Source organism: Homo sapiens, chromosome 17 (assembly GCF_000001405.40).
Source record: "Homo sapiens chromosome 17, GRCh38.p14 Primary Assembly".
Taxonomy (NCBI): Eukaryota; Metazoa; Chordata; class Mammalia; order Primates; family Hominidae; genus Homo; species Homo sapiens.
This window is the reverse complement of record NC_000017.11, coordinates 19,967,842-19,993,786: the sequence shown is the minus strand read 5'-3', so window position 1 is coordinate 19,993,786 and position 25,945 is coordinate 19,967,842. Positions and strand designations below refer to the sequence as shown.

Below are 25,945 nucleotides of genomic sequence, written 5' to 3'. Positions count from 1 at the left end.
GAGACTCCGTCTCAAAAAAAAAAAAAAAAAAAAAAAATTAATTGTCAGGTGTGCTGGCATGCAGCTGTAGTCCTAGCTACTCGGGAGGCTGAGGTAAGAAGATCGCTTGAGCCCAGGAGTTCAAGGCTGCAGTAATAGTGCCTCTCACTCTACCCTGGGTGACAATGAGACCCTCTCTCAAAAAGAAAGAAAAAAGGGAAAGAAGAAAAGAAAGAAAGAAAGAGAAGAAAGGAAGGAAGAAAGAAAGAAAAAGAAAAGGAAGGAAGGAAGAAGAAAAAAAAAGAAAGAAAGAAAAGAGAGAGAAGTTCAAAGACCAAAGGGTCAGGATCCCAAAATAGTTTTTATGTTTTATTTATTTATTTACTTATTTATTTTTGAGACAGTATGGCTCTGTCGCCCAGGCTGGAGTGCAGTGATGCGATTGCGGCTCACTGCAGCCTCCAAACTGGGCTCAGGTGGCCCTCCCACCTCAGCCTCCCGAGTAGCTGGGACCACAGGCGCGTGCCACCATGCCCAGCTAATTTTTTAATTCTTTGTAGAGATGAGGTCTCTATATGCTGCCCAGGCTGGTCTCGAGCTCCTGGGCTTAAGCCATCCACCCGCCTGGGCCTCCCAAAGTGCTGGGATTACAGAAGTGAGCCACCGCGCCTAATCGGGTGGTTTGTTTGTTTATTGACGGGGTCTCGCTGCTGCCCAGGCTGGAGTGCCAGTGGCTGTTCACAGGTGCAGTCCTGGAGCATTGCATCAGCTCTTGGGCTCTAGCGATCCTCCAGAGTAGCTGCAGCTGGGATTCCAGGCGCGCCACCGCGCGGGGCTCAGAATGGGTTTTTATATTGAGGGTTATGCTGCCACCTAGAGGATATATGTAGTACCGAACTGTGTGCGCAGGGAGGCTGAGGTTGCAGTGAGCCAAGATGATGCCAGGGCACTCCAGCGTGGGTGACAGAGCAAGATTTCATCTCAAAAAAAAAAAAAAAAAAAAAAAAAAAAGAATTGAAAGTAAGGTCTTGAAGAGATATTTGTGCCTGTATGGTCATAGCAGTATTAACTTTGACCCACTAGCTAAAACACAAAAGCAACATGTGTCTGTCAGCAGGTGAACGGATAAACAAAATGTGGTATATATGTACAATTGAATATTATTCAGCCTTTAAAAAGGAATAAAAGGCTGGATGCGGGGGCTCACGCCTGTAATCCTAACACTTTGGGAGACTGAGGTGGGTGGATCACCCGAGGTTAGGAGTTTGAGAACAGCCTGGCCAACATGGTGAAACTTCATCTCTACTAAAAATACTAAAATTAGCCGGGCATGGTGGCACTTGTCTGTAATCCAAGCTACTGGGGAGGCTAAGGCAGGAGAATTGCTTGAACTCAGGAGCCGGAGGTTGCAGTGAGCTAAGATGGCACCACTGCACTCCAGCCTGGGCAACAGAGTGAGACTCCATCTCAAAACAAACAAACAAAAAATTATTATTTCCAAAGAAACAAGACCCTGGGTCCATTTCCCAGCCCACACCTGATGTTGACTCACAACACACAGCCTGGTTTGCTATGAGCCTGCTTCATTTAATTGTCACCTTAACTTCACATCACCCTCAAGTCCTGGAATAACTCTTTGCTGACCTTTGTGTGCTGAGCCATCTCCATGTCGCTCAACGTGCAGTCCCTCTCACTGCACTGAGTCAATAGCCAGACGTGGTCTGACTGCAGGGTCATCCTTGGTGGCTTAGGCTGACTCGGGCATAGCAGGGTGCTCTGAGACCTCACCGCATATAGGCTTTGCCCCCAATAAACTCTATATAATATTCATATTATGTGGTCTGGGTGTGTGTAGCTTTGCACTGTCTTCTCGTGACAGTGCCCTCAACCTCTTTCCCAGGATTTCCTCCTCTACCTCCTCAAGTCCCACTGCTCTGCAAAGACCAAAAGCTGCAGAGTCCCAGCTCCCTCCTTTACACCCCACGACGCAGCCTCCTCTCTCAGAACCCTTTAAACAGAGTCTTTTACTGCAGATCCCAAGAACAGCCACACCCCTCTCTCCCACCCACTCCAGACACACCCAGGTAATTATAGCACCCAGGGTAACTATGTAGATGGAGTCCCTGGAACATGTGGATAGTGCCCCCTGGGAGTATGCAAAAGCAACATTGCTGGCACCTGCAGAGAACAGGGTGACATCCAGGAATCAGAGCATGGGCCTCTGGGAGGTAGGGATGTGGCCAGGCAGGCTGCCAAAAATTGGTAGAGCAAGGCCACAGGATCTTTCTGACCTTCCTTCCAAACAGAGGCTCCTGTACTGGTGATCCCTGTGTTGATTGACCACTCCCTTCCTGGGGGTCGTGGTCTCTGTCCCAGTTGCCCGGACTTCTGTGAGTGTCCTACTGAGGTCCTTTTCATGAGAAGCATGCTGTCCTTCCACCTGCTGGGAGCAAGAGTGACAACTTCAATACTATAATAGCAGTGGCATACAGAGAAGAAGAAAGATGAAGTGGCAAGAAAAACAGGCTTCCAAGCAGGAGTTTTTCTATAAAAACAAAAACGTTTACAAGCAAACTTTTTATAAAGGGCTAGATAGTAAATATTTTAGGCTTTGAGAGCCACATAGACTTGTTTGCAGGGACTCAATGTCGCTATTGTAGTTTGAAAGCAGCCATCAGGGTTATGTAAATGAGTGAGTCTGATTTTGTTTCAGCAAAATTTTATTTACCAAAACAGACAATGAGTGGGCTGGATTTGGCCCATGATCCTTAGTTTGCCAACTCCTGCTTTGGGCTCACCCAGATCTGATTTTGAATTCTGGCTCTGCTACTGGTTAGCTGCAGGAGCTTGGAAGGCTCTCTGAGCCTGTTTCCTCATCTGTAAAATTAAAGCAATAATTTCTAACACTCAAGAGTGTTACCTCACGCCTGTAATCCCAGCACTTTGGAGGCTGAGGCAGGCGGATCACCTGAGGTCAGAAGTTCAAGACCAGCGTGGCCAACGTGGCAAAACCCTGTCTCTACTAAAAAATACAAAAAGTAGCCGGGCATGGTGGCGCGCATCTGTAATCCCAGCTACTTGGGAGGCTGAGGCAGGGATACTGCTAGAACCTGGGAGGTGGAGCGTGCAGTGAGTGGAGATCACACCTCCACACTCCAGCCTGGCCGACAGAGCGAGACTCCATCTCAAAAAAAAAAAAAAAAAGAGTGTTAGAAGGTTTTGAGATAATGAATAAAAGATGCCTTGTGTATACTAAGTATTCAACAACTGATAGCTGCATTGGTCTAATTATAACAGTTTAGAAGCGATTGAGTCAACAAATGCTGGATTTGTCAGGGAGGACTTCCTATCAGGAGGTAGATCTTGGGCTGAGTCCTGAAGCAAAGATAGGCATTGGATAGAGGAGTTGAGAGAACACCCTAGGACTGTTATTATTATTATTCGACACGGAGTCTCTTGCTCTGTCACCCAGGCTGGAGTGCAGTGGCGCGATCTCGGCTCACTGCAACCTCTGCCTCCCAGGTTCAAGCGATTCTCCTGCCTCCTAAGTAGCTGAGACTACAGGTGTGTGCCACCACACCCGGCTAATTTTTATATTTTTAGTAGAGACAGAGTTTCACCATGTTGGCCATGCTGGTCTCGAACTCCTGACTTCAGGTGATCCACCCGCCTCAGCCTCCCAAAGTGCTGGAATAACAGATGTGAGCCACCGCACCCAGCCCAGAACCATTTTTCAATCCTTGGCTCTGCCTTTTATTAGCTGCAAGATCTCAGGCAATTTATTTAACCTCTCCAAAGACTCATTTTCTCATTCACAAAATGAGGCAAATAATAATATCTACTATCCCAGGTTGTCATGAGAATTAAATGCAACATGACATTTAATGAAATGAGAAGTCCCTTGGACATTAACTGGCTAAAGTATGTGCTCGACAAGGATATCATTTTAGGTGGATACTTAGCATCTCAGAACTGATGCTCACAATGGAATATCATTGAAACGCATTAAAATTCATTTTAAATGATTGTAGGTAGTGAGGCAATTGAAAGAAGAAGACAAGAGGACTGATTATAATGCTTCAGGCTCACTAGTCTCCTTTTAGGAGGGAAAAACAATTTCAAGTTAAATTTTAGGCTCTAGATTTTTACCCCTGCTGCTCATTAGAATCACCCAGATTGATGAAATCAGAGCCCATCTGAGGCTGTGTTTTTCATCTCCAGAATGAGAGCTGTTGTGGGGATTAAGTTTTTGAAAAAGTACATCTAACAGGTGATCGAAAATGATAGTGATATTATTGCAGTGATGGTCATTATTGTTGTTATTATTATACTGAAAGAGGCTTCAGTTTTCTGATCCATAAAGTGAGGGAATTGCATGAGACCATTGCTAAGATTCCTTCTAGCTCTGTTTTTTTGTTTTTGTTTTTTAGACAGAGTCTCTGTCGCCCAGGCTGGAGTGCAATGGCATGATCTTGGCTCACTGCAACCTCCGCCTCCCGGGTTCAAATGATCCTCCTGTCTCAGCCTCCGAAGTAGCTGGGACTACAGGCACACACCACCATGCCCAGCTAACTTTTATATTTTTAATAGAGGTGGGGTTTCACCATATTGGTCAGGCTGGTCTCAAACTCCTGACCTCAGGTGATCCACCCGCCTCGGCCTCCCAACATGCTGGGATTACAGGCATGAGCCACTGTGCCCAACCCCTTCTAGCTTTCTTGATCACTGATTCTAGGGTTCTCTGCTGAAATATATTTGAGACATCCTGGATAAAAGATCATGCAAGAGCTCCCAATATGGTATTAATAATTGATTCTGGAGGCTTAGCTACTCCTGATGGATTAGACATGACTCAACTGCCTCTCTTATGTGTACAACACAACAACACAACCAAGAAAGGTTATTCTGGCATTCCATTTATTCAGTTTATTTACAGCCCTTACTTCCAGCAGCACGTTAAAGATATGGCCAGGGCCGGGTGCAGTGGCTCAAGTCTGTAATCCCAGGACTTTGGGAGGCCAAGGTGGGCGGATCACAAGGTCAGGAGTTTGAGAATCTGGCAATTCTTCAGACTTAGAAGCAACCAGCTCGATAACACAGTCTTGTGTGGGCTCTCCCTCTGTCCCTCCCTCGCTTCCCTCATTTCTCATCCCTGCCCCTGAGACTGTGCACCTTCACATAGCCCTGCCATGAGACCTTCATCTCAGGCTTTGCTTTCTGGGGTAACTGAGGCTAAACACTGAGTGGCCCTAAAAGAGGATTGGGATTTGGAAGTTAGATTATTCACCAGAGAACAGACTTTGCTGATGATCAGGCCCAGGTTGTAATTGTTGAAAAAAAGAGAGGATGCATAGTCTTATCTCATCTCCTAGTCAAAGTCAACACCATGATAAATAAGAGTCAAATCCTGAGATGTGAATTGGGGACATTTGAGTGGTTAACCCTGAGAAGCTTGCACCTTCAGACCCCTCAATACCCCTGCTCCCCAGAGAAGGCTGGACATTGACCTCAGCACAGGCAGGAGCCCTGCAAGATGCCATTTGTCCTACTAAAGATGGACCCCTCCACTCTGTTTCTAGGTAAATAACCAAAGTCAAGTCTCCACACAGCCTGAGCAAGAAAGTCAGAGCCTGCTACAGGAGAAAATACCACACTGGCCAAAGGATTCACTAGCCCTGGCCACTGTGTGTGGGAGGAACCAGGGAATCATGTGTGGGAGTCAATGTTGAAGCTGTTGGACTGGGGGTGGGGTGGAATATAAGCCTGGCCCTGGGGAGTTTTTCCCGTTTGAGGGCCTTTACCCACAACTCAAGATCCAGTGCTATAGCAGGAGATCCCAGAGCTAGTCCTAACAGATGGTCAGGATTGAACTTGGCCTAGAGTAAAATGAGGAGGATAGTGCCAGAACTTTCTCAACATACTATTGAGGAAGAGGTCAGAAGGCTTAAGGAGGTAGTGTAACTGGAAAGGGGTCCTGATCCAGACCCCAGGAGAGGGTTCTTGGACCTTGCATAAGAAAGAGTTCGAGACGAGTCCACCCAGTAAAGTGAAAGCAATTTTATTAAAGAAGAAACAGAAAAATGGCTACTCCATAGAGCAGCGACATGGGCTGCTTAACTGAGTGTTCTTATGATTATTTCTTGATTCTATGCTAAACAAAGGGTGGATTATTTGTGAGGTTTCCAGGAAAGGGGCAGGGATTTCCCAGAACTGATGGATCCCCCCACTTTTAGACCATATAGAGTAACTTCCTGACGTTGCCATGGCGTTTGTAAACTGTCATGGCCCTGGAGGGAATGTCTTTTAGCATGTTAATGTATTATAATGTGTATAATGAGCAGTGAGGACGGCCAGAGGTCGCTTTCATCACCATCTTGGTTTTGGTGGGTTTTGGCCGGCTTCTTTATCACATCCTGTTTTATGAGCAGGGTCTTTATGACCTATAACTTCTCCTGCCGACCTCCTATCTCCTCCTGTGACTAAGAATGCAGCCTAGCAGGTCTCAGCCTCATTTTACCATGGAGTCGCTCTGATTCCAATGCCTCTGACAGCAGGAATGTTGGAATTGAATTACTATGCAAGACCTGAGAAGCCATTGGAGGACACAGCCTTCATTAGGACACTGGCATCTGTGACAGGCTGGGTGGTGGTAATTGTCTGTTGGCCAGTGTGGACTGTGGGAGATGCTACTACTGTAAGATATGACAAGGTTTCTCTTCAAACAGGCTGATCCGCTTCTTATTCTCTAATTCCAAGTACCACCCCCCGCCTTTCTTCTCCTTTTCCTTCTTTCTGATTTTACTACATGCCCAGGCATGCTACGGCCCCAGCTCACATTCCTTTCCTTATTTAAAAATGGACTGGGGCTGGGCGCGGTGGCTCATGCCTGTAATCCCAGCACTTTGGGAGGCCGAGGCGGGCGGATCATGAGGTCAGGAGATCGAGACCATCCTGGCTAACACGGTGAAACCCCGTCTCTACTAAAAATGCAAAAACATTAGCCAGGCGTGGTTGCAGGTGCCTGCAGTCCCAGCGGCTCAGGAGGCTGAGGCAGGAGAATGGCGTGAACCTGGGAGGTGGAGGTTGCAATGAGCCGAGATTGTGCCACTGCACTCCAGCCTGGGTGACAGAGCGAGACTCCGTCTCAAAAAAAAAAAAAAAAAAAAAAATAGCTGGGCATGGTGGCGCGTGCCTGTAATACCAGCTACTCTGGAGGCTGAGGCAAGAGAATCGCTTGAACCCAGTAGGCGGAAGTTGCAGTGAGCCGAGATCTTGACACTGCACTCCAGCCTGGTGACAGAGTGAGACTCTGTCTCAAAAAAAAAAAAAAGAAAAAAAAAGACAGAAAGAAAGAGCACAGACAGAGTCACAGGTATTTGCAGTAGGAAGCTGTCAGGTTAGAGTGCACGGAAATAGAAAGTATATTTTACACTTACAGCACATCTTCGTTTGATTAGCCACATTTAAAATACTGAATAGCAACGTGTGGCTATTTAGTATTCACTAAAATCTTGGACAGTGCAAGTCTAAAGAATCCTTGATCCGTCCGGCATGGTGGCTCACGCCTTTAATCCCAGCACTTTGGGAGGCCAAGGTGGAAGGATCACTTAAGGTCAGGAGTTCGAGACCAGCCTGGCCAACATGGTGAAACCTCGTCTCTACTAATAATACAAAAAAAATTAGCCGGGCATGGTGGTGCATGCCTGTAATCCCAGGTACTTGGGAGGCTGAGGCAGGAGAATAGCTTGAATCCAGGAGGCGCTGCAGTGAGCCGAGATCATGCCATGCCACTACTGCACTCCAGCCTGGGCAACAGAGTGAGACTGTCTCAAAAAAAAAAAAAAAATTGTTGGGCGTGGTGGCTCACGCCTGTAATCCCAGCACTTTGGGAGGCTGAGGGGGGTGGATCACCTGGGTTCTGGAGTTCGAGACCAGCCTGGCCAACATGGTGAAACCCCATCTCTACTAAAAATACAAAAATTAGCTGGGCGTGGTGGTGGGCACCTGAAATCTCAGCTACTCAGGAGGCTGAGGCAGGAGAATTTCTTGAACCCAGGAGGCAGAGGTTGCAGTGAGCCAAGATCGCGCCTCTGCACTCCATCCTGGGTGGCAGAGCAAGACTATGTCTCAAAAAAAAAAAAAAAAATACTTGATTGTCTGGACATTCTGCAGAACATCATATGGAGACACTATGTTGACGACATCATGCTGATTGTAAGCAAGAAATGGCAAGTGTTCCAGAAACACAGTCAAGACACATACATGCCAGAAGGTGAGATATAAACTCTACTAAGATTCAGTGGCCTGCCACACTGGTGACATTTTTAAACCTGCTAGATGTTTGTGTAGAAAAGGATTTAACCTTGCCCAAAGAGGGGTCTGGCCTTTGTCCCCAGCTACTGGACATAATCTCTTTAAACTCTTGAAATATCATTCCTGATAGAAGTATTTTTGTTTTGACTAGGGGCCTTGGGCCAGCCAGATAGCAACAATGTGATCTGGGTTGGGGGCTTTGGATCAGGTGGCATCAGTGTGACCTCCTGAGTGGCTAGAGACTAGAATCAACCACATGGGCAGACAACCCAGCTTACATGATGGAATTCCAATAAAGACTTTGGACACAAGGGCTTGGGTAAGCTTTCCTGGTTGGCAATGCTCTATACTGGGAAACCCATTCTGACTCCATAGGGAGAGGACAACTGGATATTCTCATTTGGTACCTCCCTGGGCTTTGCCCTATGCATTTTTCCCTTGTCTGATTATTATTATTATTATGAGATGGAATCTCGCTCTGTCACCCAGGCTGGAGTGCAGTGGAATGATCTCAACTCACTGCAACCTCTGCCTCCCCGGTTCAAGCGATTTTCCTGTCTCGGCCTCCCGAGTAGCTGGGACTACAGATGCATACCACCACACCCGGCTAATTTTTTTGTATTTTTAGTAGAGACGGGGTTTCACGTTAGCCAGGATGGTCTCGATCTCCTGACCTCATGTTCCGCCTGCCTCGGCCTCTCAAAGTGCTAGGAATACATGTGTGAGCCACCGCGCCCAGCCCCCTTGGCTGATTATTAAAGTGTATCCTTGAGCTGTAGTAAATTATAACCGTGAATATAACAGCTTTTAGTGAGTTTTGTGAGCACTTCTAGCAAATTATCAAACCTAAGGATAGCCTTGGGGACCCCTGAACTTGCAGTTGGTGTCAGAAATAAGGGTGCTCATGTGTGTACCATGCCCTCTAATTTTGTAGTTAATTAACTTTCACAACTTTATTATTACCGCTTACACTCAATGTTTATTCACATTTATCCACATACCACTTATTCTAGTGCCTTGCATCAAAGACTTTCTATCTCATGTACTTTATTCTGCTTGAAGTAAATCCTTTAGGATATTCTTTTTTTTTTTTAAACTTTGCACATACATACTTTTATTTTTTATTTATTTTTAATTTTGTTATTTTTGTGGGTACGTAGTAGATATATGTATTTATGGAGTACATGAGATGTTTTGATACAGGCATGCAATGTGAAATAAGCACATCATGGAGAATGGGGTATCCATCCTCTCAAGCAATTTATCCTTCAAGTTACAAACAATCCAATTACACTCTTTAAGTTATTTTAAAATGTACATTTAATTTTGTATTGACTAGAGTCACTCTGTTGTGCTATCAAATATAATTTTTTTTTTTTTTGAGACAGAGTCTCACTCAGTGGCCCAGACTGAAAGTGCAGTGGCACAAGCTCGGCTCACTTCAATCTCTGCCTCCCTGGTTCAAGCGAATCTCCTGCCTCAGCCTCCCACATAGCTGGGATTACAGGCACACACCACCATGCCCAGCTAATTTTTATATTTTTTTAGTAGAGACGGGTTTTCGCCATGTTGGCCAGGCTGGTCTTGAACTCCTGGCCTCAAATGATCTGACCACCTCAGCCTCCCAAAGTGCTAGGATTACAGGCATGAGCCACCACACCTGGCCAAAATAGAATATTCTTTAGTGAGGTCTGCTGGTGACAATTTTTTTCTTTTTTTTGAGACTGAGTCTCGCTGTTGTCAGCTTGGGCTGGAGTGCAATAGCACGATCTCAGCTCACTGCAACCTCCACCTCCCGGATTCCAGCAATTCTCCTGCCTCAGCCTCCCAAGTAGCTGAGAGATTACAGGCACCCACCACCACACGCGGCTAATTTTTGTATTTTTAGTAGAAATGGGGGTTCACCGTGTTGGCCAGGCTGGTCTCGAACTCCTGACCTCAGGTGATCCACCCACCTTGGCCTCCCAAAGTGCTGGGATTACAAGCATGAGCCACCACGCACAGCCAATTTTTTCCGTTTTTGTCTGAAATCTTATTTTGTGTCATCTTTGAAATATATTTTTGATGGATATAAAATTGTTGGTTGATAGTTATTATCATTATTATTATTATTTTGAGACAGGGTCTCACTCTGTTGCCTATGCTGGGGTGTAGTAATGTGATCTCGGTTCACTGCAGACTTGACCTCCTAGGGCTCAGGTGATCTTCCCACCTCAGCCTCCCTAGTAGCTGGGACTACAGATGCATGCCACCATACCCAACTAATTTTTCTATTTTTTGTAGAGATGAGGCTTTGCCACATTTCCCAGGCTGGTCTCTAACTCCTGAGCTCTAGCAATCCACCCACCTTGGCCTTACAAAGTGCTGGGCCATGACTAGCCAGCAGTTACTTTTTATAGCATATTGAATATTTAATATGAATCTTCTGGCATCCACTGTAACTGTTTAAAAAATCAGCTGTTTACTTGGCACTCTTTTTTTTTTTTTTTTTTTTGAGACAGAGTCTTGCCCTGTCGCCCAGGCTGGAGTGCAGTGGCGTGATCTTGGCTCACTGCAAGCTCTGCCTCCCGGGTTCACGCCATTCTCCTGCCTCAGCCTCCGGAGTAGCTGGGACTAAAGGCGCCCGCCACCACGCCCGGCTGATTTTTTTGTATTTTTCGTAGAGTTGGGGTTTCACCGTGTTAGCCAGGATGGTCTCGATCTCCTGACCTCGTGATCTGTCCGCCTCGGCCTCCCAAAGTGCTGGGATTATAGGCGTGAGCCACCGCGCCCAGCCTCTTTTTTTTTTTTTTTTAGACGGAGTCTTACTCTGTCATCTAGGCTGGTGTACAGTGGCGTGATCTCAGCTCAGTGCAACCTCCACCTCCTGCCTCAGCCTGCCAAATAGCTGGGATTACAGGTGCGTACCATCACGCCCGGCTAATTTTTGTATTTTCAGTAGAGATGGGGTTTCACCATGTTAGACAGGCTGGTCTCGAACTCCTGGCCTCAAGTGATCTGCCTGCCCCAGCCTCCCAAAGATTACAGGCATGAGCCACCGCACCCGGCCAAGTAGCACTCCTTTGAAGGTAATCTGCTTCCCCTACCCCTAGCAATTTTTAACAATTTTTCTTCATTTTTATTTCCTGAAGTTTTGTTATTAATAATCTGTGTGCAGATTTCTTTGTATTTCTTTTGTTTGCAGTTCATAGTGATTCTTGAATTAGTGTGTTGGTTTCTGTTATCACCACAGGAAAATTGTCAGCCGTTAGCTTTTCAAATATTTCCTTGCTAAATTCTCTCTTCTCCCCTTTCGGTACAATTGATTTGATTAAAACTAAAACCAGGGCCGGGTGCAGTGACTCATGCCTGTAATCCCAACACTTTGAGAGGCTGAGGCAGGTGGATCACCTAAGCTCAGGAGTTCAAGACCAGCCTGGCCAATATGGTGAAACCCCGTCTCTACTAAAAATACAAAAATTACCAGGCATGGTGGCACACATTTGTAGTCAGGAGGCTGAGGCAGGAGAATTGCTTGAATCCAGGAGGTGGAGGTTGCAGTGAGCTGAGATCCCACCACTGCAGTCTGGCCTGGGCGACAGAGTGAGATGAGAATCTGTCTCGAAAAAAAAAGTTATGAATGTTTGATAAACTATATTTGTTAGAATGTTTGTTGTAGAATACTATTCATTGATTTTTAAACAATGTTAGATTAAACCATTCACTGGATTTGTGATAATTAACTTACTGATTTTACCTCACTGATTTGTTGTAATTAATACAACTGGTATAAAAAGACTGTGACGAGGCCGGGCATGGTGGCTCCCGCCTATAATCCCAGCACTTTGGGAGGCTGAGGCAGGCGGATCACCTGAGGTCAGGAGTTCAAGACCAGCCTGACCAACATGGTGAAACCCCATCTTTACTAAAAATACAAAATTAGCCGGTCGTGGTGGTGCATGCCTGTAATCCCAGCTCTTCGGGAGGCTGTGGCAGGAGAATCACTTGAACCCGGGAGGTGGAGGTTGCAGTGAGCCGATATCGCGCCATTGCACTCCAGCCTGGGCAACAAGAGCGAAACTCCGTCTAAAAAAAAAAAAGAAAAAAAACACATAAAACAAAACAACACTGTGACGGTTCCCAAAAATTAGGAGCATAATTAAAGGAACTCCTGATAAAAATTAATTTTATCTTACATGTAAACTAAAATGACTTTATGAAGTTAATTCAGAAATACAATGCAGGGTATTAGTTTGCCACAGCTGCGTATTCAGCCTAATGTAATATTCTTGTTATTTTTAAATTCTTCTTTTAACTTTACTCATATGTGGATCATCAAATTTCAAAAGATTAAATGACAATACTCTTAGCAGCAAGCTTCCCTAAGCATATAAACATTTTAATGGGTGATGATTCAGAAGGTACCCGAAGAATATGTACTGCCAGATATCATTCACCCCCATATACCTGCCCGACAGACATCCCATTTTGGGACCCTGGATAAATGTGTGGGTGGAGAGAAAGATAGGAGAAAGTGGTATAAGCAAATGGCTTTGGAGTCTGATTGACAGCGATTGAAATCCTGTCTCTACCTCTTAACAGCCTCATGATCCTACATAAGTTACCCCGATCCTCAGGGCCACATCTGTAAATTGGGGGTTGCGATGGCAGCCATCTCACAGGGTCTCTTTTCGGGGAAGGGCAGGAATTATGGATTAAGTGAGCTAGTAATTGTAAAGCACTTAATACAAGGAGGGCGCATAATAAGTACTTCATAAATAATGACGGCCATTATCATGACTGAGGTGTATGCAGCTGTCGGGGATTACGGCGACTTCAGAATTTCTGGTGGGCAGGGCTCAAAGGCAGCAAATCACACTGGAAGTCGAGGTGAGGCACTGCTTCTGCACAGACTGCTTAGCTGGAGAGAATGAGGAAGGCTTAGAGGAGATTTAGAGGAACTTAGAGTCCTCCGCCTCCAACTCTGTGGGATCTGCTCCCGTGCCAGAGACATTCAGGGGATTTCTCGCACTCTCCCCTCCCCTACGTCCCTCCCGCCCCATCCAACTAACCACACAACACATACAAAATAGCCCCTGCGAGGTTCTGCACGCTGGAAGGGAACAGGAGAAGGGCGCTGCGCTTTCTTGCTGATGCCCTGTACTTGGGCCCCTGGTAGACACAGCCACTTGTCCCCTCAGCCTGCAGAGAAATCCCACGTAGACCGCGCCCGGGTCCTTGGCTTCAGCCAATCTCCCTTTGGTGGGGGTGGGATGCACGATCCAAGGTTTTATTGGCTACAGACAGCGGGGTGTGGTCCGCCAAGAACACAGATTGGCTCCCGAGGGCATCTCGGATCCCTGGTGGGGCGCCGCTCAGCCTCCCGGTGCAGGCCCGGCCGAGGCCAGGAGGAAGCGGCCAGACCGCGTCCATTCGGCGCCAGCTCACTCCGGACGTCCGGAGCCTCTGCCAGCGCTGCTTCCGTCCAGTGCGCCTGGACGCGCTGTCCTTAACTGGAGAAAGGCTTCACCTTGAAATCCAGGCTTCATCCCTAGTTAGCGTGTGACCTTGAGCAGTTGACTTTATTTTTCAGTGCCTAGTTTTCCAGATACCAGGACTGACTCCAAGGACTATTACTCATCTGGAGGGTTTAGCACAGTACCGTCGCATAGTAAATTTCCATGTCAGTTTTGGTTACCTTTCATGCACTTGCAAACATGCCATGCTCTGAAACGAAATAGGCACATCTTTTTTTTTTTTTTTTTTAAGGAGTCTTCCTCTCGCCCAGGCTGGAGTGCAGTGGCGCGATCTTGGCTCACTGCAACCTCCACCTCCCGTGTTCGAGATTCTCCTGCCTCAGCCTCCTGATTAGCTGGGACTACAGGCATGCCACGACGCCCAGTTAATTTTTGTATTTTTAGTAGAGACGGGGTTTCGCCATCTTGGCCAGGCTGGTCTAACTCCTGACCTCAGGTGATCTGACTGCCTCAGCCTCTCAAAGTGTTGGGATTACAGGCATAAGCCACTGCATCTGGCCAGAAATGAAATAAGTAAATCTTTTAACCTGCTCTAACAATATAGTGAAAAGACCATATTATTATTAGAGCAGGTTAAGGGATTTGCCTATTTCGGGTTCTAGTTATAGTCTTAAACTTGGACATTCTTGTAGAAAGTAAAAAGTTTCCTCTTCAAAGTTCCCCTTCTTGTTAAAGAATACATCATAAGTGTTAGAAGTAATAGTTTATTTTAAAGACTAACTTTCTTCAAGCCTCCTTGCTTTGTGCTAATAACTCTTTGTTAAGCCCTATCCTATGTAACTGTTGGACATGCTCACAGGCACGTTCCAGTTCACAGCCTATGCCCCTTCCTTATTTGGAAATGTTATTGCTTCCTTAAACCTTTCGGTAAGCAACTTCCTCTCCTTCTTCGTTCTTCCTTGCACTTACCTATTTAGAAAGTTTTAGGCTATTAGCAAATCGGCTATCAGTTTAAGAGTGTGAGGTCCCGCTCCAGCCAATGGATGCAGGACATAGCAGTGAGGACGACCCAAATGCGTAAGGGATAAATATGTTTGCTTTTCCTTTGTTCAGGTGTGCTCTCGACATCGTTCCATCTGCGATTGAGCACCCTTTCTGCAGAAAGTAAAGATTGCCTTGCTGGAGATCTTTTGTCTCCGTGCTGACTTTTCTTCGTGGCACCGATTATCTATTTCTAACAATTTTGGTATTTCTAACATTCTGAACAATCTTGGGCTAGTTGTCTCTTCTGGGCCTGTTTCCCCATCCGTCACATGATAAACTTCATTGGTTTAAAAACCCCAGCGAACATTTATTGAGTTACTATTACCTTCCTGCCCTCCCCAACCCCAACCCCAGGGAGCAGTTACAACCTCAGCCGCTGAGCGCACTCGCCGGGTGTTAAGAAGCACCAAAGACAGGGAGGCTTGATTGATTTTGCTTTGGGAGTAGAGGGTCAGAAGATTCACAGGAAAATGGCATTTGAGCAAGGATGATTCACTGGAGCTAGCTTTTAAATACTGGCGAGGCTTTTATGTTGCAGTCCCTTACAAAGTTGAGCATTCGCAGGGACTGCACTCCGAAATAAGCCCGCTTCCCCTTTTCATTCGCTAATGATCCAGGGAGCTGCTGGTTCCGCATGCGGCAGGTTGTGCCTTTTCCTAATCAGGGTTCTGCATCGCCTCGAACCCGCAGGCCGTGGCGGGTTCTCCTGAGGAAGCAGGGACTGGGGTGCAGGGTGAAGCTGCTCGTGCCGGCCAGCGCCTGTGAGCAAAACTCAAACGGAGGAGCAGGAGGGGTCGAGCTGGAGCGTGGCAGGGTTGACCCTGCCTTTTAGAAGGGCACAATTTGAAGGGTACCCAGGGGCCGGAAGCCGGGGACCTAAGGCCCGCCCCGTTCCAGCTGCTGGGAGGGCTCCCGCCCCAGGGAGTTAGTTTTGCAGAGACTGGGTCTGCAGCGCTCCACCGGGGGCCGGCGACAGACGCCACAAAACAGCTGCAGGAACGGTGGCTCGCTCCAGGCACCCAGGGCCCGGGAAAGAGGCGCGGGTAGCACGCGCGGGTCACGTGGGCGATGCGGGCGTGCGCCCCTGCACCCGCGGGAGGGGGATGGGGAAAAGGGGCGGGGCCGGCGCTTGACCTCCCGTGAAGCCTAGCGCGGGGAAGGACCGGAACTCCGGGCGGGCGGCTTGTTGATAATATGGCGGCTGGAGCTGCCTGGGCATCCCGAGGAGGCGGTGGGGCCCACTCCCGGAAGAAGGGTCCCTTTTCGCGCTAGTGCAGCGGCCCCTCTGGACCCGGAAGTCCGGGCCGGTTGCTGAATGAGGGGAGCCGGGCCCTCCCCGCGCCAGTCCCCCCGCACCCTCCGTCCCGACCCGGGCCCCGCCATGTCCTTCTTCCGGCGGAAAGGTAGCTGAGGGGGCGCCGGCGGGGAGTCAGGCCGGGCCTCAGGGGCGGCGGTGGGGCAGGTGGGCCTGCGAGGGCTTTCCCCAAGGCGGCAGCAAGGCCTTCAGCGAGCCTCGACCTCGGCGCAGATGCCCCCTGAGTGCCTTGCTCTGCTCCGGGACTCTTCTGGGAGGGAGAAGGTGGCCTTCTTGCGCGAGGTCAGAGGAGTATTGTCGCGCTGGTTCAGAAGCGATTGCTAAAGCCCATAGAAGTTCCTGCCTGTTTGGTTAAGAACAGTTCTTAGGTGGGGGTTAGTTTTTTTGTGTTTCTTTGAGGACCGTGGATCAAGATCAAGGAAATCTCTTTAGAACCTTATTATGGAAGTCTGAAGTTTCCAAATGTTGAGGGTTTTATGTCTAAAAGCAACACGTGAAAAAATTGTTTTCTTCACCCAGTGCTGTCTTCCAATTTCCTCTTTGGGGGGAGGGGTAGTTACTGCTGTTACTAAAATAAAATTACTTATTGCTAAAGTTCCCCAACAGGAAGACCACTACTTTTGATGACTTTGGCAAGTTTGCTAACTACTGGAACCCTAACTTACAAACGAACTACTTACATTTTTGATTTCCAGTTGTATTACCTGCCCAATGTTTACGTAGAAACAGCTTAATTTTGATTCTGGGTAACGTTGTTGCACTTCATTAAAAATACATATCCGAAGTGAGCAAGTATGGGTCTGTGGACAGCAGTGATTTTTCCTGTCAATTCCTGTTGCTTCAGATAAAATGTACCAGACAGAGGCCGGGCGCGGTGGCTCACGCCTGTAATCCCAGCACTTTGGGAGGCTTGGCGGGTGGATCACCTGAGATCGGGAGTTCAAGACCAGCCTGACCAACATGGAGAAACCCCGTGTCTACTAAAAATACAAAATTAGCCAGGGTGGTGGCGCATGCCTGTAATGCCAGCTACTTGGGAGGCTGAAGCAGGAGAATCGCTTGAACCTGGGAGGCGGAGGTTGCGGTGAGCCGAGATAGCACCATTGCACTCCAGCCTGGGCAAAAAGAGCGAAACTCCGTCTCAAAAAAAAAGTACCAGACAGAAATGGGTTTTGTTTTCTTTTTTTGTTTTGAGACGGAGTTTCGCTCTTGTTGCCCAGGCTCGAGTGCAATGGCGCGATCTCAGTCTCGGCTCACTGCAACCTCTGTCTCCCAGGTTTAATCGATTCTCCTGCCTCAGCCTCCCAAGTAGCTGGGATTACCCATGCCCCACCATGCCCGGCTAATTTTTGTATTTTTAGTAGAAACGGGGCTTCACCATGTTAGGCTGGTCTTGAACCCCTGACCTCAAGTGGGCCTCCCACCTCGGCCTCCCAAAGTGCCAGGATTACAGGCATGAGCCACCGCGGCCAGCCAGAAATGGGTTTTGGAAAAAGCACTAAACAAAATCGAACTTGGTTTCATATGACAGCTCTGCTGCTAACTGTAACAGGGGCAGACCAGTTAACCTACTTTTCTGTCTTCTGTCAGCTGAGAATTAGATGATTCCCAAAGGCCCATTGAACTCTGAATGACTTTAAATACTTCTTCTTAAGTGGGTACACGGTTTTGGTAACTGATGCCAGGTGATGAATGCATGAAAGTGCTTAATGAATGAAACCGGTAAAATAGTAGGAGGAAGCTTTATTGGTAAGGCAGGGGTATACCTAATAGCTCTCTAATTTATTGGTATTGAAGTGGTTAACTTTTGTTTTTTTAAGGGGGGAAAACATTCTAAGAATAATGAGGCAAACTGCATATTGCACAAGAGACTGTTGTCTCTATTCAACAAATACCTTTTGAGTGTCCAGAGTCTGCCAGGTGCTGTGCTAGGCCCTCACGATTGAGTAGTGAACCAGAGAATGTCCCTGCACCCATGGAGCTTATTGTCTACTGGGGTAGACAGATAATAAATAAGCAAACAAATCTTCTCTCTTCTCCCTTTCGCTCCATGTAAGTGTGTGTGTATAGGTGTATACTTACAAGTTGAGTAAAGTGTTATGAAAGATTAAGAGGAGAAATGCATTTTGGTTAGATGTTAGAGGACTCAGCAGGTGACCTTGAAACTTAGAGCTGAAGGATCAGTAGGAGGTAACTAGAGAGGCCAGGGAATCGCATGTTCAAAGGCCAGGAGGCAAGAAAGAGCATGGTGCCCTTCAAGAGAGGAAAGAAGGCTACTGTGACTGGAGCATAGATGTAGGCAAGTGTTGGGTGATTGAGAGCTCTACGGGCCATGGTTAGGTTTTATTCCTAATGCCGAGATGCCAAACATGGTGGTTCATATCTGTAATCCCAGTATTTTAGGAGGCCGAGGCAGGAATATAGCTTGAACCCAGGAGTTCAAGACCAGCCTGAGCAACATGAGACCTGTACAAAACATTTAAAAAATTGCTGGGTATGATGGTGCACACCTGTGGTCCCAGCTACTCAGGAGGCTGAGGCAGAAGGATCACTTGAGCCTAGGAGGTGGAGGCTACAATGAGCCATATTTGAGTCACTACACTCCAGCCTGGATGACAAAGTGAGACCATGTGTCAAACAAAATACAGAAAGAATATTAATTTAAAATTTTGAAAGAGGAGTGATCTGAACTTATATCTTAAAAAGATCATTCTAGGGCATGGTGGCTCATGCCTGTAATCAAGGGCTTTGGGAGGCTGAGACAGGAGGATCACCTGAGGCCAGTTCGAGATCAACCTGTACAGCATAGAGAGACTCCATCTCTACAAAAAGAAAAAATAAATAGCTGGGTGTTGTGAGTTATTCAGGAGGCTGAAGCAGAAAGATCACTTGAGCCCAGGAGTTTGAGGCTGCAGTAAGCTATGATCCCACCACTGCAACACAGTGAGATCTTGTCTCAAAAAAAAAAAAAAATCATTCTAGGTGCTTTTTGGAGGCTGGATGTGGTAAGAGTAGAAGCTGGAGATGGTCCTGTTAGGGATTCGATTCAGACTTTAAATACCATCAATGCATTGAGTCCCAAATTTACATCACTACGTTGGATCCTTGCCCCTGAATCCAGACTGGTATATCCAACTTTAGGTTCAGTTTGTATCTCTACCTGACCAATATAGAGGTGTCCAGTCTTTTGGCTTCCCTAGGCCACATTGGAAGAAGAATTGTCTTGAGCCACACATAGAGTACACTAACGCTAACAATAGCAGATGAGCTAAAAAAAAATCGCAAAACTTATAATGTTTTAAGAAAGTTTACGAATTTGTGTTGGGCACATTCAGAGCCATCCTGGGCCGCGGGATGGACAAGCTTAATCCAGTAGATACCTTCAACTTACAATATCTAAAATTTTATGCCAGATTTAGTCATTTTAAACCTGCTCATCAGTTTTTCTCAAGAAGTAGTATTTTGGCTTTTTTTCTTTTCTTTTTTTTGAGATGGAGTTTCGCTCTTATCGTTCAAGCTGGAGTGCAGTGGCGGATCTTGGCTCACTGCAACCTCCGCCTCCTGGGTTCAAGTGATTCTCCTGCCTCAGCCTCGCAAGTAGCTGGAATTACAGGCATGCGCCACCATGACCAGCTAATTTTTGGAGACAGGGTTTCACCATGTTGGTCAGGCTGGTTTTGTACTCCTGACCTCAGGTGATCTGCCTGCCTCGGCCTCCCAAAGGCTGGGATTACAGGCATGAGCCACCGCTCCCGGCTGCATTTTTGGATTTTTAGTTGCTCAGCCCAAAACTTTAGTACATCTTTGAACCTCTTCTTTCCTCCTACTCTATATCTGATCCATCAGCAAATCTGTTAGGTCTACCTCACACATATCGAAATCCTACCACGTCTCACCATCTGTGACAATTAACACCCTGGTCTAGGCAGTCATCTCTGTTAAGATTGAGTGGTTAAGGATGTCCTCTAAGGAGATGACATTCAAATCTTAGCTTAAATGTCAAGAGGGAGCTGGTTTTATAAAGATTGAGGAGGCAGCATTATTTTGCCATAGGCTTCCATTTGGTTTCCATTCCATTCTTGATACTTATGGTATATATTCAAAACAAATGCACAGAAACAGACCCAGGTATATTGGGAATTTCGGATATAGAGTTCCTAGTTGGGAAAAGATAGACTGATCTGTAAATGATGCTAGTTATCCATCATCTGGCAAAAAATAATTTCCTGCCTCCTCTCATATATCTCAGATCAACAGACTTTTTCTGTTAAGGGCCAAATCATAAATATTTTAGGCTTTCCAGACCATATGGTTTCTGTCACACTCTCCTTTATCCTTGAAGCCATAGACAATATGTAAACAAATGGGCATGGCTGTGCTACGATAAAACTTTACTTACAAAAACTGGTAGTGGGCCAGTTTAGGCATGGCCAGCACTTTGGGAGGCTAAGGCAGATGGATCACTTGGGGTCAGGAGTTTGAGACCAGCCTGGCCAACATGGTGAAACCCTGTCTCTACTAAAAATACAAAAAATAGCTGGGCATGGTGGTGGGTGTCTATAATTCCAGCTACTCTGGAGGCTAAGACACAAGAATCACTTGAACCCAGGAGGCAGAGGTTGCAGTGAGCTGAGATAGCACCACTGCACTCCAGCCAGGGTGACGGAGTCTTAAAGCAAAACAAAACAAAAGGTAGTGGGTTGTATTTGGCCCATGGGCTGTAGTTTGCCAATCCCTGATGCAGAAACAAATTCCAGGTAAATAAGAGCCTGGAATGTTAAAAAAACAAAACTTGAAGTCATGTAGAAGAACAGGTAGGGGGAACAATCCTGATCTCAGGATAGGAAGGGATATTGCTTAAAATAAGACACAGGAAAATATAATCCATGTTGTGTAAATTTGACTACGTTAAAACTTAAAACTTTCGCCAAGCGCGGTGGCTCACGCCTGTAATACCAGTACTTTGGGAGGCCGAGGTGAGCAGATCACCAGGTCAGGAGATTGAGACCATCCTGGCTAACACGGTGAAACCCCGTCTCTACTAAAAATACAAAACATTAGCCGGGCGTGGTGGCGGGCGCCTGTAGTCCCAGCTACTTGGGAGGCTGAGGCAGGAGAATGGCCTGAACCCGGGAGGCGAAGCTTGCAGTGAGCTGAGATCGCGCCACTGCACTCCAGCCTGGGCGACAGAGTGAGATTCCGTCTCAAAAAAACAAAACAAAACAAAGCAAAAAACCTAAAACTTTCATACAATAAAGTATACCTAAGATACTTCTAGAAGAGAAGATTTACATCCAGGACGTGTATGGAATTTCTGCAAGTAATAAGTAAAAGACAAGGGACATGAAGAGGCAGTTCACAAAAGAGGAAGCCAAAATGACCAATAAACATGAAAGGATGTTTAACCTCAAAGGAAACAAGGAAATGAATTAAAAACATCAAATGCCATTTCAAAACTAGTAAGTTGGCAAAATTAAAAATACCAAGGATGAGAATATGAAGCATGGCTATATGAGTGCATGGAATGGTACAGTCACTTTCATTAAAAATGCACATAATTTGTTTTTTATTTATTTTTTTGAGACAGTCTATGTCGCCCAGGCTAGAATGCAGTGGCATGATCTCGGCTCACCACAATCTCTGCCTCCTGGGTTCAAGCAATTCTCCTGCCTCAGCCTCCTGAGTAGCTGGGATTACAGGCACATGCCACAACGCCCGGTTAAGTTTTGTATTTTTAGTAGAGACAGGGTTTTGCCATGTTGGCCAGGCTGGTCTCGAACTCCTGACCTCAGGTGAGCTGCTTCCCAAAGTGCTGGGATTAGAGGCGTGAGCCAATGCTCCTGGCTGAAAAAAATGCACATAATTTGTTACCTAGCAATTCCATGTCTAGAGGCTTATCCTAGAGAAATTCTTGCTTATATGCATAGGAAGACGTGTACTAGAATGTTCACTAGTTGAATGTTTAAGTGAAAATTAGGAAATAAAGTAAATGTTCATTAACAGGAAAATGAGTAAAGGTATATTTATAAAACAATTAAGTAGCTAAAATGAATAAACTAGAGCTGCGTGAATGAACTAGAACTGGTTCAATAGTCATGTCAGATTATTGAATGAATACAGGTCAGATATGTATAGAGTGTCATTTGTGTAATTAATTTTTTTTTTTTTTTTGAGATGGAGTCTCACTCTGTTGCCCAGGCTGGAGTGCAGTGGCGTGATCTCAGCTCACTGCAACCTCCACCTCCTGGGTTAAAGTGATTCTCCTGCCTCAGCCTCCCGAGTAGTTGGGATTACAGGCATGCACCACCATGCCCAGCTCATTTTCCTATTTTTAGTGGCCACAGGGTTTCACCATGTTGGCCAGGCTGGTCTTGAACTCCTGACCTCAAGTGTTCCACCCAACTTGGCCTCCCAAAGTGCTAGGATTACAGGCGTGAGCCACCGTGCTCAGCCATTTGCGTGATTTTTAAAGATGTGCAGAATAATGCCATTAAAAAAAATACACATACATGTATATATATACACGTTTGGCTGGGTGTGGTGGCTCACACCTGTAATCCCAGCACTTTGGGAGGCTGAGGCAGGAGGATCACTTGAGCCCAGGTGTACAAGACTAGCCTGGGCGAGATAGCAAGACCCCATCTCAACAACAGAAAGGATAATTAGGTATGGTGGCATGAGAGGATCACTTGAGCCCAGGAGTTCGAGTGTTATCAGGCCACTGCACTCTAGCCTGGACAACAAAGCAAGACCGTGTCTCAAAAAAATAAAAATAAAAAGTATTTGTATGTGGTCATAGTCAAAAAACGTACATGGAAGGAAAATGTCTTTATTTATTTATTTATTTTTTTTTTTTTAAGACAGAGTCTTGCTCTGTCACCCAGGCTGGGGTACAGTGGTGTAATCTCAGCTCACCGCAATCTCGGCCTCCCGGGTTCAAGCGATTCTTCTGCCTCAGCCTTCTAAGTAGCTGGGACTACAGGTACCCGCCACCACACCCTGCTAATTCTTGTGTTTTCAGTAGAGACAGGGTTTCACCATGTTGGCAAGGCTGGTCTCGAACTCCTGACCTTAAGTGAGCCACCCGCCTTGGCCTCCCAAAGTCCTGGGATTACAGGTGTGAGCCACTGCGCTTGGCCAGGAAATATCTAATTTAGTAAGTATTTATATCTGGGAAAGGAAGGGTCAGGTGGTGATTCATAGGAACTCTAAAGTCTATGTATAATACTTAGGGGGACAGAAGGAAATAAAGCAAAATGCTGATATTTGATTGTTGAGTTGTGTATATGTTAGAAGTATAACATAGGAGATCTGATTGATAGTAGGAGAATGTTTTTAGGTGGTAAAAGTGGAACCGTGGTGGTTTGTTTTGGCAGTAGAATCAGTTGGTCATAGTTTGTATGTGGAAGGTAATAAACAGACCATGTTAAGGATGACTTCCGGAATTTTGGTCTGAGTAGTGGGTGGATGACAGTGTCATTCATGAGGGAAGATGAAGACTGAGGTAGGAACAGGTTTGGGAGAAGATGACATGTTCCCTTTTAGACAAGTGGAATTATGGAAGATGGCAGGTAGGTGGTTAGCTATATGAATTTGAGATAAAAGATTTAGGATGGAGATATAAATTTAGGAGTAACAGCGTATCTATGGTATTGTAAGCCTTAAGAATGGGTAGGATCAGCCAGGAAATACAGATGTATATGCAGAAGAGAGGAGTCAAGGAAGCCAAGACAAGTTAATGTTTAAAGTGAGTGATGTAGTCCATGGGCAGATGCTGCTGAGAGGGCTGCAAACACCAGTGACCCTACAACATTTTTAAATGTCGTCTTCCTGACAGCAGTGATCAGTACCTGCAACGATCTTATTTATTTTTTTCATGTTAGTCTCCACACACTTGAATGTAGACTTTTTGAAGGCAAAATCATTGCCTTTTCTGAGCTGGGAGCATGTCTGGCACATACCAAGCACTCAACAGTTGATGTATTGACTTCATCCAGATACTCTGAGGGCGAGTTATTTCCTGCTACTAGCCTTTCACCTTTCAATGTTTAAGAGCACAAATACAGAGATGGGCACGTTTTGGCATTTCTTATTTTGATAACCTTTTCCTGGTAAGATTTTTTAATGTTGAAAAAAAAAAACAAGAAAAGAGGGTTAAAAATAGTCTTATGTCAGATCCTGTGATAGAATTCACACTTGGCTTAAGCTGCTGGGCACCTTCCTATCTTGGATGTCATATTAGCTTATCTACAGCAGAATTTTTACTGTTTTATGTAGTAAGGAAGCAATTATATGATTATTTTACAGACAAATTATTCTTTATCTTTTATTTTTTTAGACGGAGTCTCTCTTTGTCTCCCAGGCTGGAGTACAGTGTCGCGATCTCGGCTCACTGCAACCTCCGCCTCCTGGGTTCAAGCAATTCTCTGCCTCAGCCTCCCAAGTAGCTGGGCTTACAGGTGTCCGCCACCACACCCAGCTCATTGTTTTGTATTTTTAGTAGAGATGGGGTTTCACCATGTTGGCCAGGCTGGTCTTGAGCTACTGACCTCAGGTGATCCACCCGCCTTGGCATCCCAAAGTGCTGGAATTACAGGCGTGAGCCACCGTGCCTGGCCCAGACAAATTATTATACTCTGAGTGTTAGAGGCTTAGGATGTTTTCACTTGATGCTATGGGAGGAATAAGTAATAAGATATGATACACAACCAAAGACCTTTCTTCACTATGCTTCTAGTAGCTAGTACTATGGATGACACATGGTAATAATATTGGTTAGCATTTGTCCTCAATTTACTGTGCTAGTTACTCTTCTAAGCCCCTTACAGGTATATATTTTTTTTCATCAATAATCCTCTAAGGTAGTTTTTATTATTGACCTAATTTTATAAATCAAGAAAATTAAGACCCAGAGAAGTAAGTAACTTGTCCAAGATCACATGGCTTATAAGTGGTAGAGCCAGAATTTGACCCCAGATGTTGTGACTACATTGTCTCTCCATAAGCAGGTTCAACTCTTTTGACTGGATGCTGTTCCAAGGTCACTTCCTTAGAGAAGCCTTTGCTGACAACTACCCTCCTGTGCCCTCCTCCAAGGCTGTCCATTGTTCTAGAACTTTGAATACTCATCTTAGAATAAAGCTGGTCTAATTTTTACAGTGTTATAGAATGGATCTCTGACTGCAAAAGTTGGTCATAATTATCTTTTTATGTTCTAGTGAAAGGCAAAGAACAAGAGAAGACCTCAGATGTGAAGTCCATTAAAGGTAAGTTCTGCCCTTGGCAGTCCACTGCATTAAAAAGTGATGTGCTTTGCATTTGTGAGTTCTTTAATCCTGTTATACTCTCTCTTTTGGCATTAATCATTTCTGCCTTATTTTATAATTACTTATGATTTTGATTTATTTCCCTCTTTAACCTGTATAATGCTTTAACATCTAGCATATAATAAGTAGGCTTTTTTTTTTTTTTTTTTTTTGGAGACGGAGTCTTGCTCTGTTACCCAGGCTGGAGTGCAGTGGCGCGATCTTGGCTCACTGCAAGCTCTGTCTCCCGGGTTCACACCATTCTCCTGCCTCAGCCTCCCCAGCAGCTGGGACTACAGGTGCACGGCGCCACGCCTGGCTAATTTTTTGTATTTTTTAGTAGAGACAGAGTTTCACCATGTTAGCCAGTATGGTCTCGATCTCCTGACCTTGTGATCCGCCCGCCTCGGCCTCCCAAAGTGCTGGGATTACAAGCGTGAGCCACCGCACCCGGCCGTAAGTAGGCTTTTTTTACCTTAATTTTATTTTTTTGAGATGGAGTCTTGCTCTTATCCCCAGGCTGGAGTGCAGTG

General features: G+C 45.9%; 1 protein-coding gene across 5 annotated transcripts in view, besides 4 other annotated features; it reads left to right on the top strand.

Moving 5' to 3' along the window:
• Nucleotides 541-1,074: an enhancer, noted in NCBI's record as "H3K27ac-H3K4me1 hESC enhancer chr17:19896026-19896559 (GRCh37/hg19 assembly coordinates)". NCBI's record gives its function as "activates a minimal SCP1, AML or CMV promoter by ChIP-STARR-seq in primed H9 embryonic stem cells {active_cell/tissue: H9 hESC(primed)}" and the evidence as "EXISTENCE:reporter gene assay evidence [ECO:0000049][PMID:30033119]".
• Nucleotides 5,941-6,737: an enhancer, noted in NCBI's record as "H3K27ac-H3K4me1 hESC enhancer chr17:19890363-19891159 (GRCh37/hg19 assembly coordinates)". NCBI's record gives its function as "activates a minimal SCP1, AML or CMV promoter by ChIP-STARR-seq in primed H9 embryonic stem cells {active_cell/tissue: H9 hESC(primed)}" and the evidence as "EXISTENCE:reporter gene assay evidence [ECO:0000049][PMID:30033119]".
• Nucleotides 14,876-15,589: an enhancer, noted in NCBI's record as "H3K27ac-H3K4me1 hESC enhancer chr17:19881511-19882224 (GRCh37/hg19 assembly coordinates)". NCBI's record gives its function as "activates a minimal SCP1, AML or CMV promoter by ChIP-STARR-seq in naive H9 embryonic stem cells {active_cell/tissue: H9 hESC(naive)}" and the evidence as "EXISTENCE:reporter gene assay evidence [ECO:0000049][PMID:30033119]".
• The window catches only part of AKAP10 (A-kinase anchoring protein 10), a 73,527-nt gene continuing 63,540 nt past the window's right edge, over nt 15,959-25,945 (top strand). For all 5 annotated transcript variants that reach the window (XR_007065258.1, NM_001330152.2, NM_007202.4 and 2 more), the window contains exons 1-2: nt 15,959-16,195; nt 25,326-25,373. Coding sequence is in view for 4 of the 5 variants with exons in the window: in NM_001330152.2 (NP_001317081.1) it covers nt 16,108-16,195; nt 25,326-25,373 (136 nt within the window). In the remaining variant the exon portion in view is untranslated. The remainder of the gene's footprint in view (nt 16,196-25,325; nt 25,374-25,945) is intronic.
• Nucleotides 16,062-16,251: a silencer, noted in NCBI's record as "silent region_8302". NCBI's record gives its function as "represses an Ori minimal core promoter by ATAC-STARR-seq in GM12878 lymphoblastoid cells {active_cell/tissue: GM12878}" and the evidence as "EXISTENCE:reporter gene assay evidence [ECO:0000049][PMID:35858748]".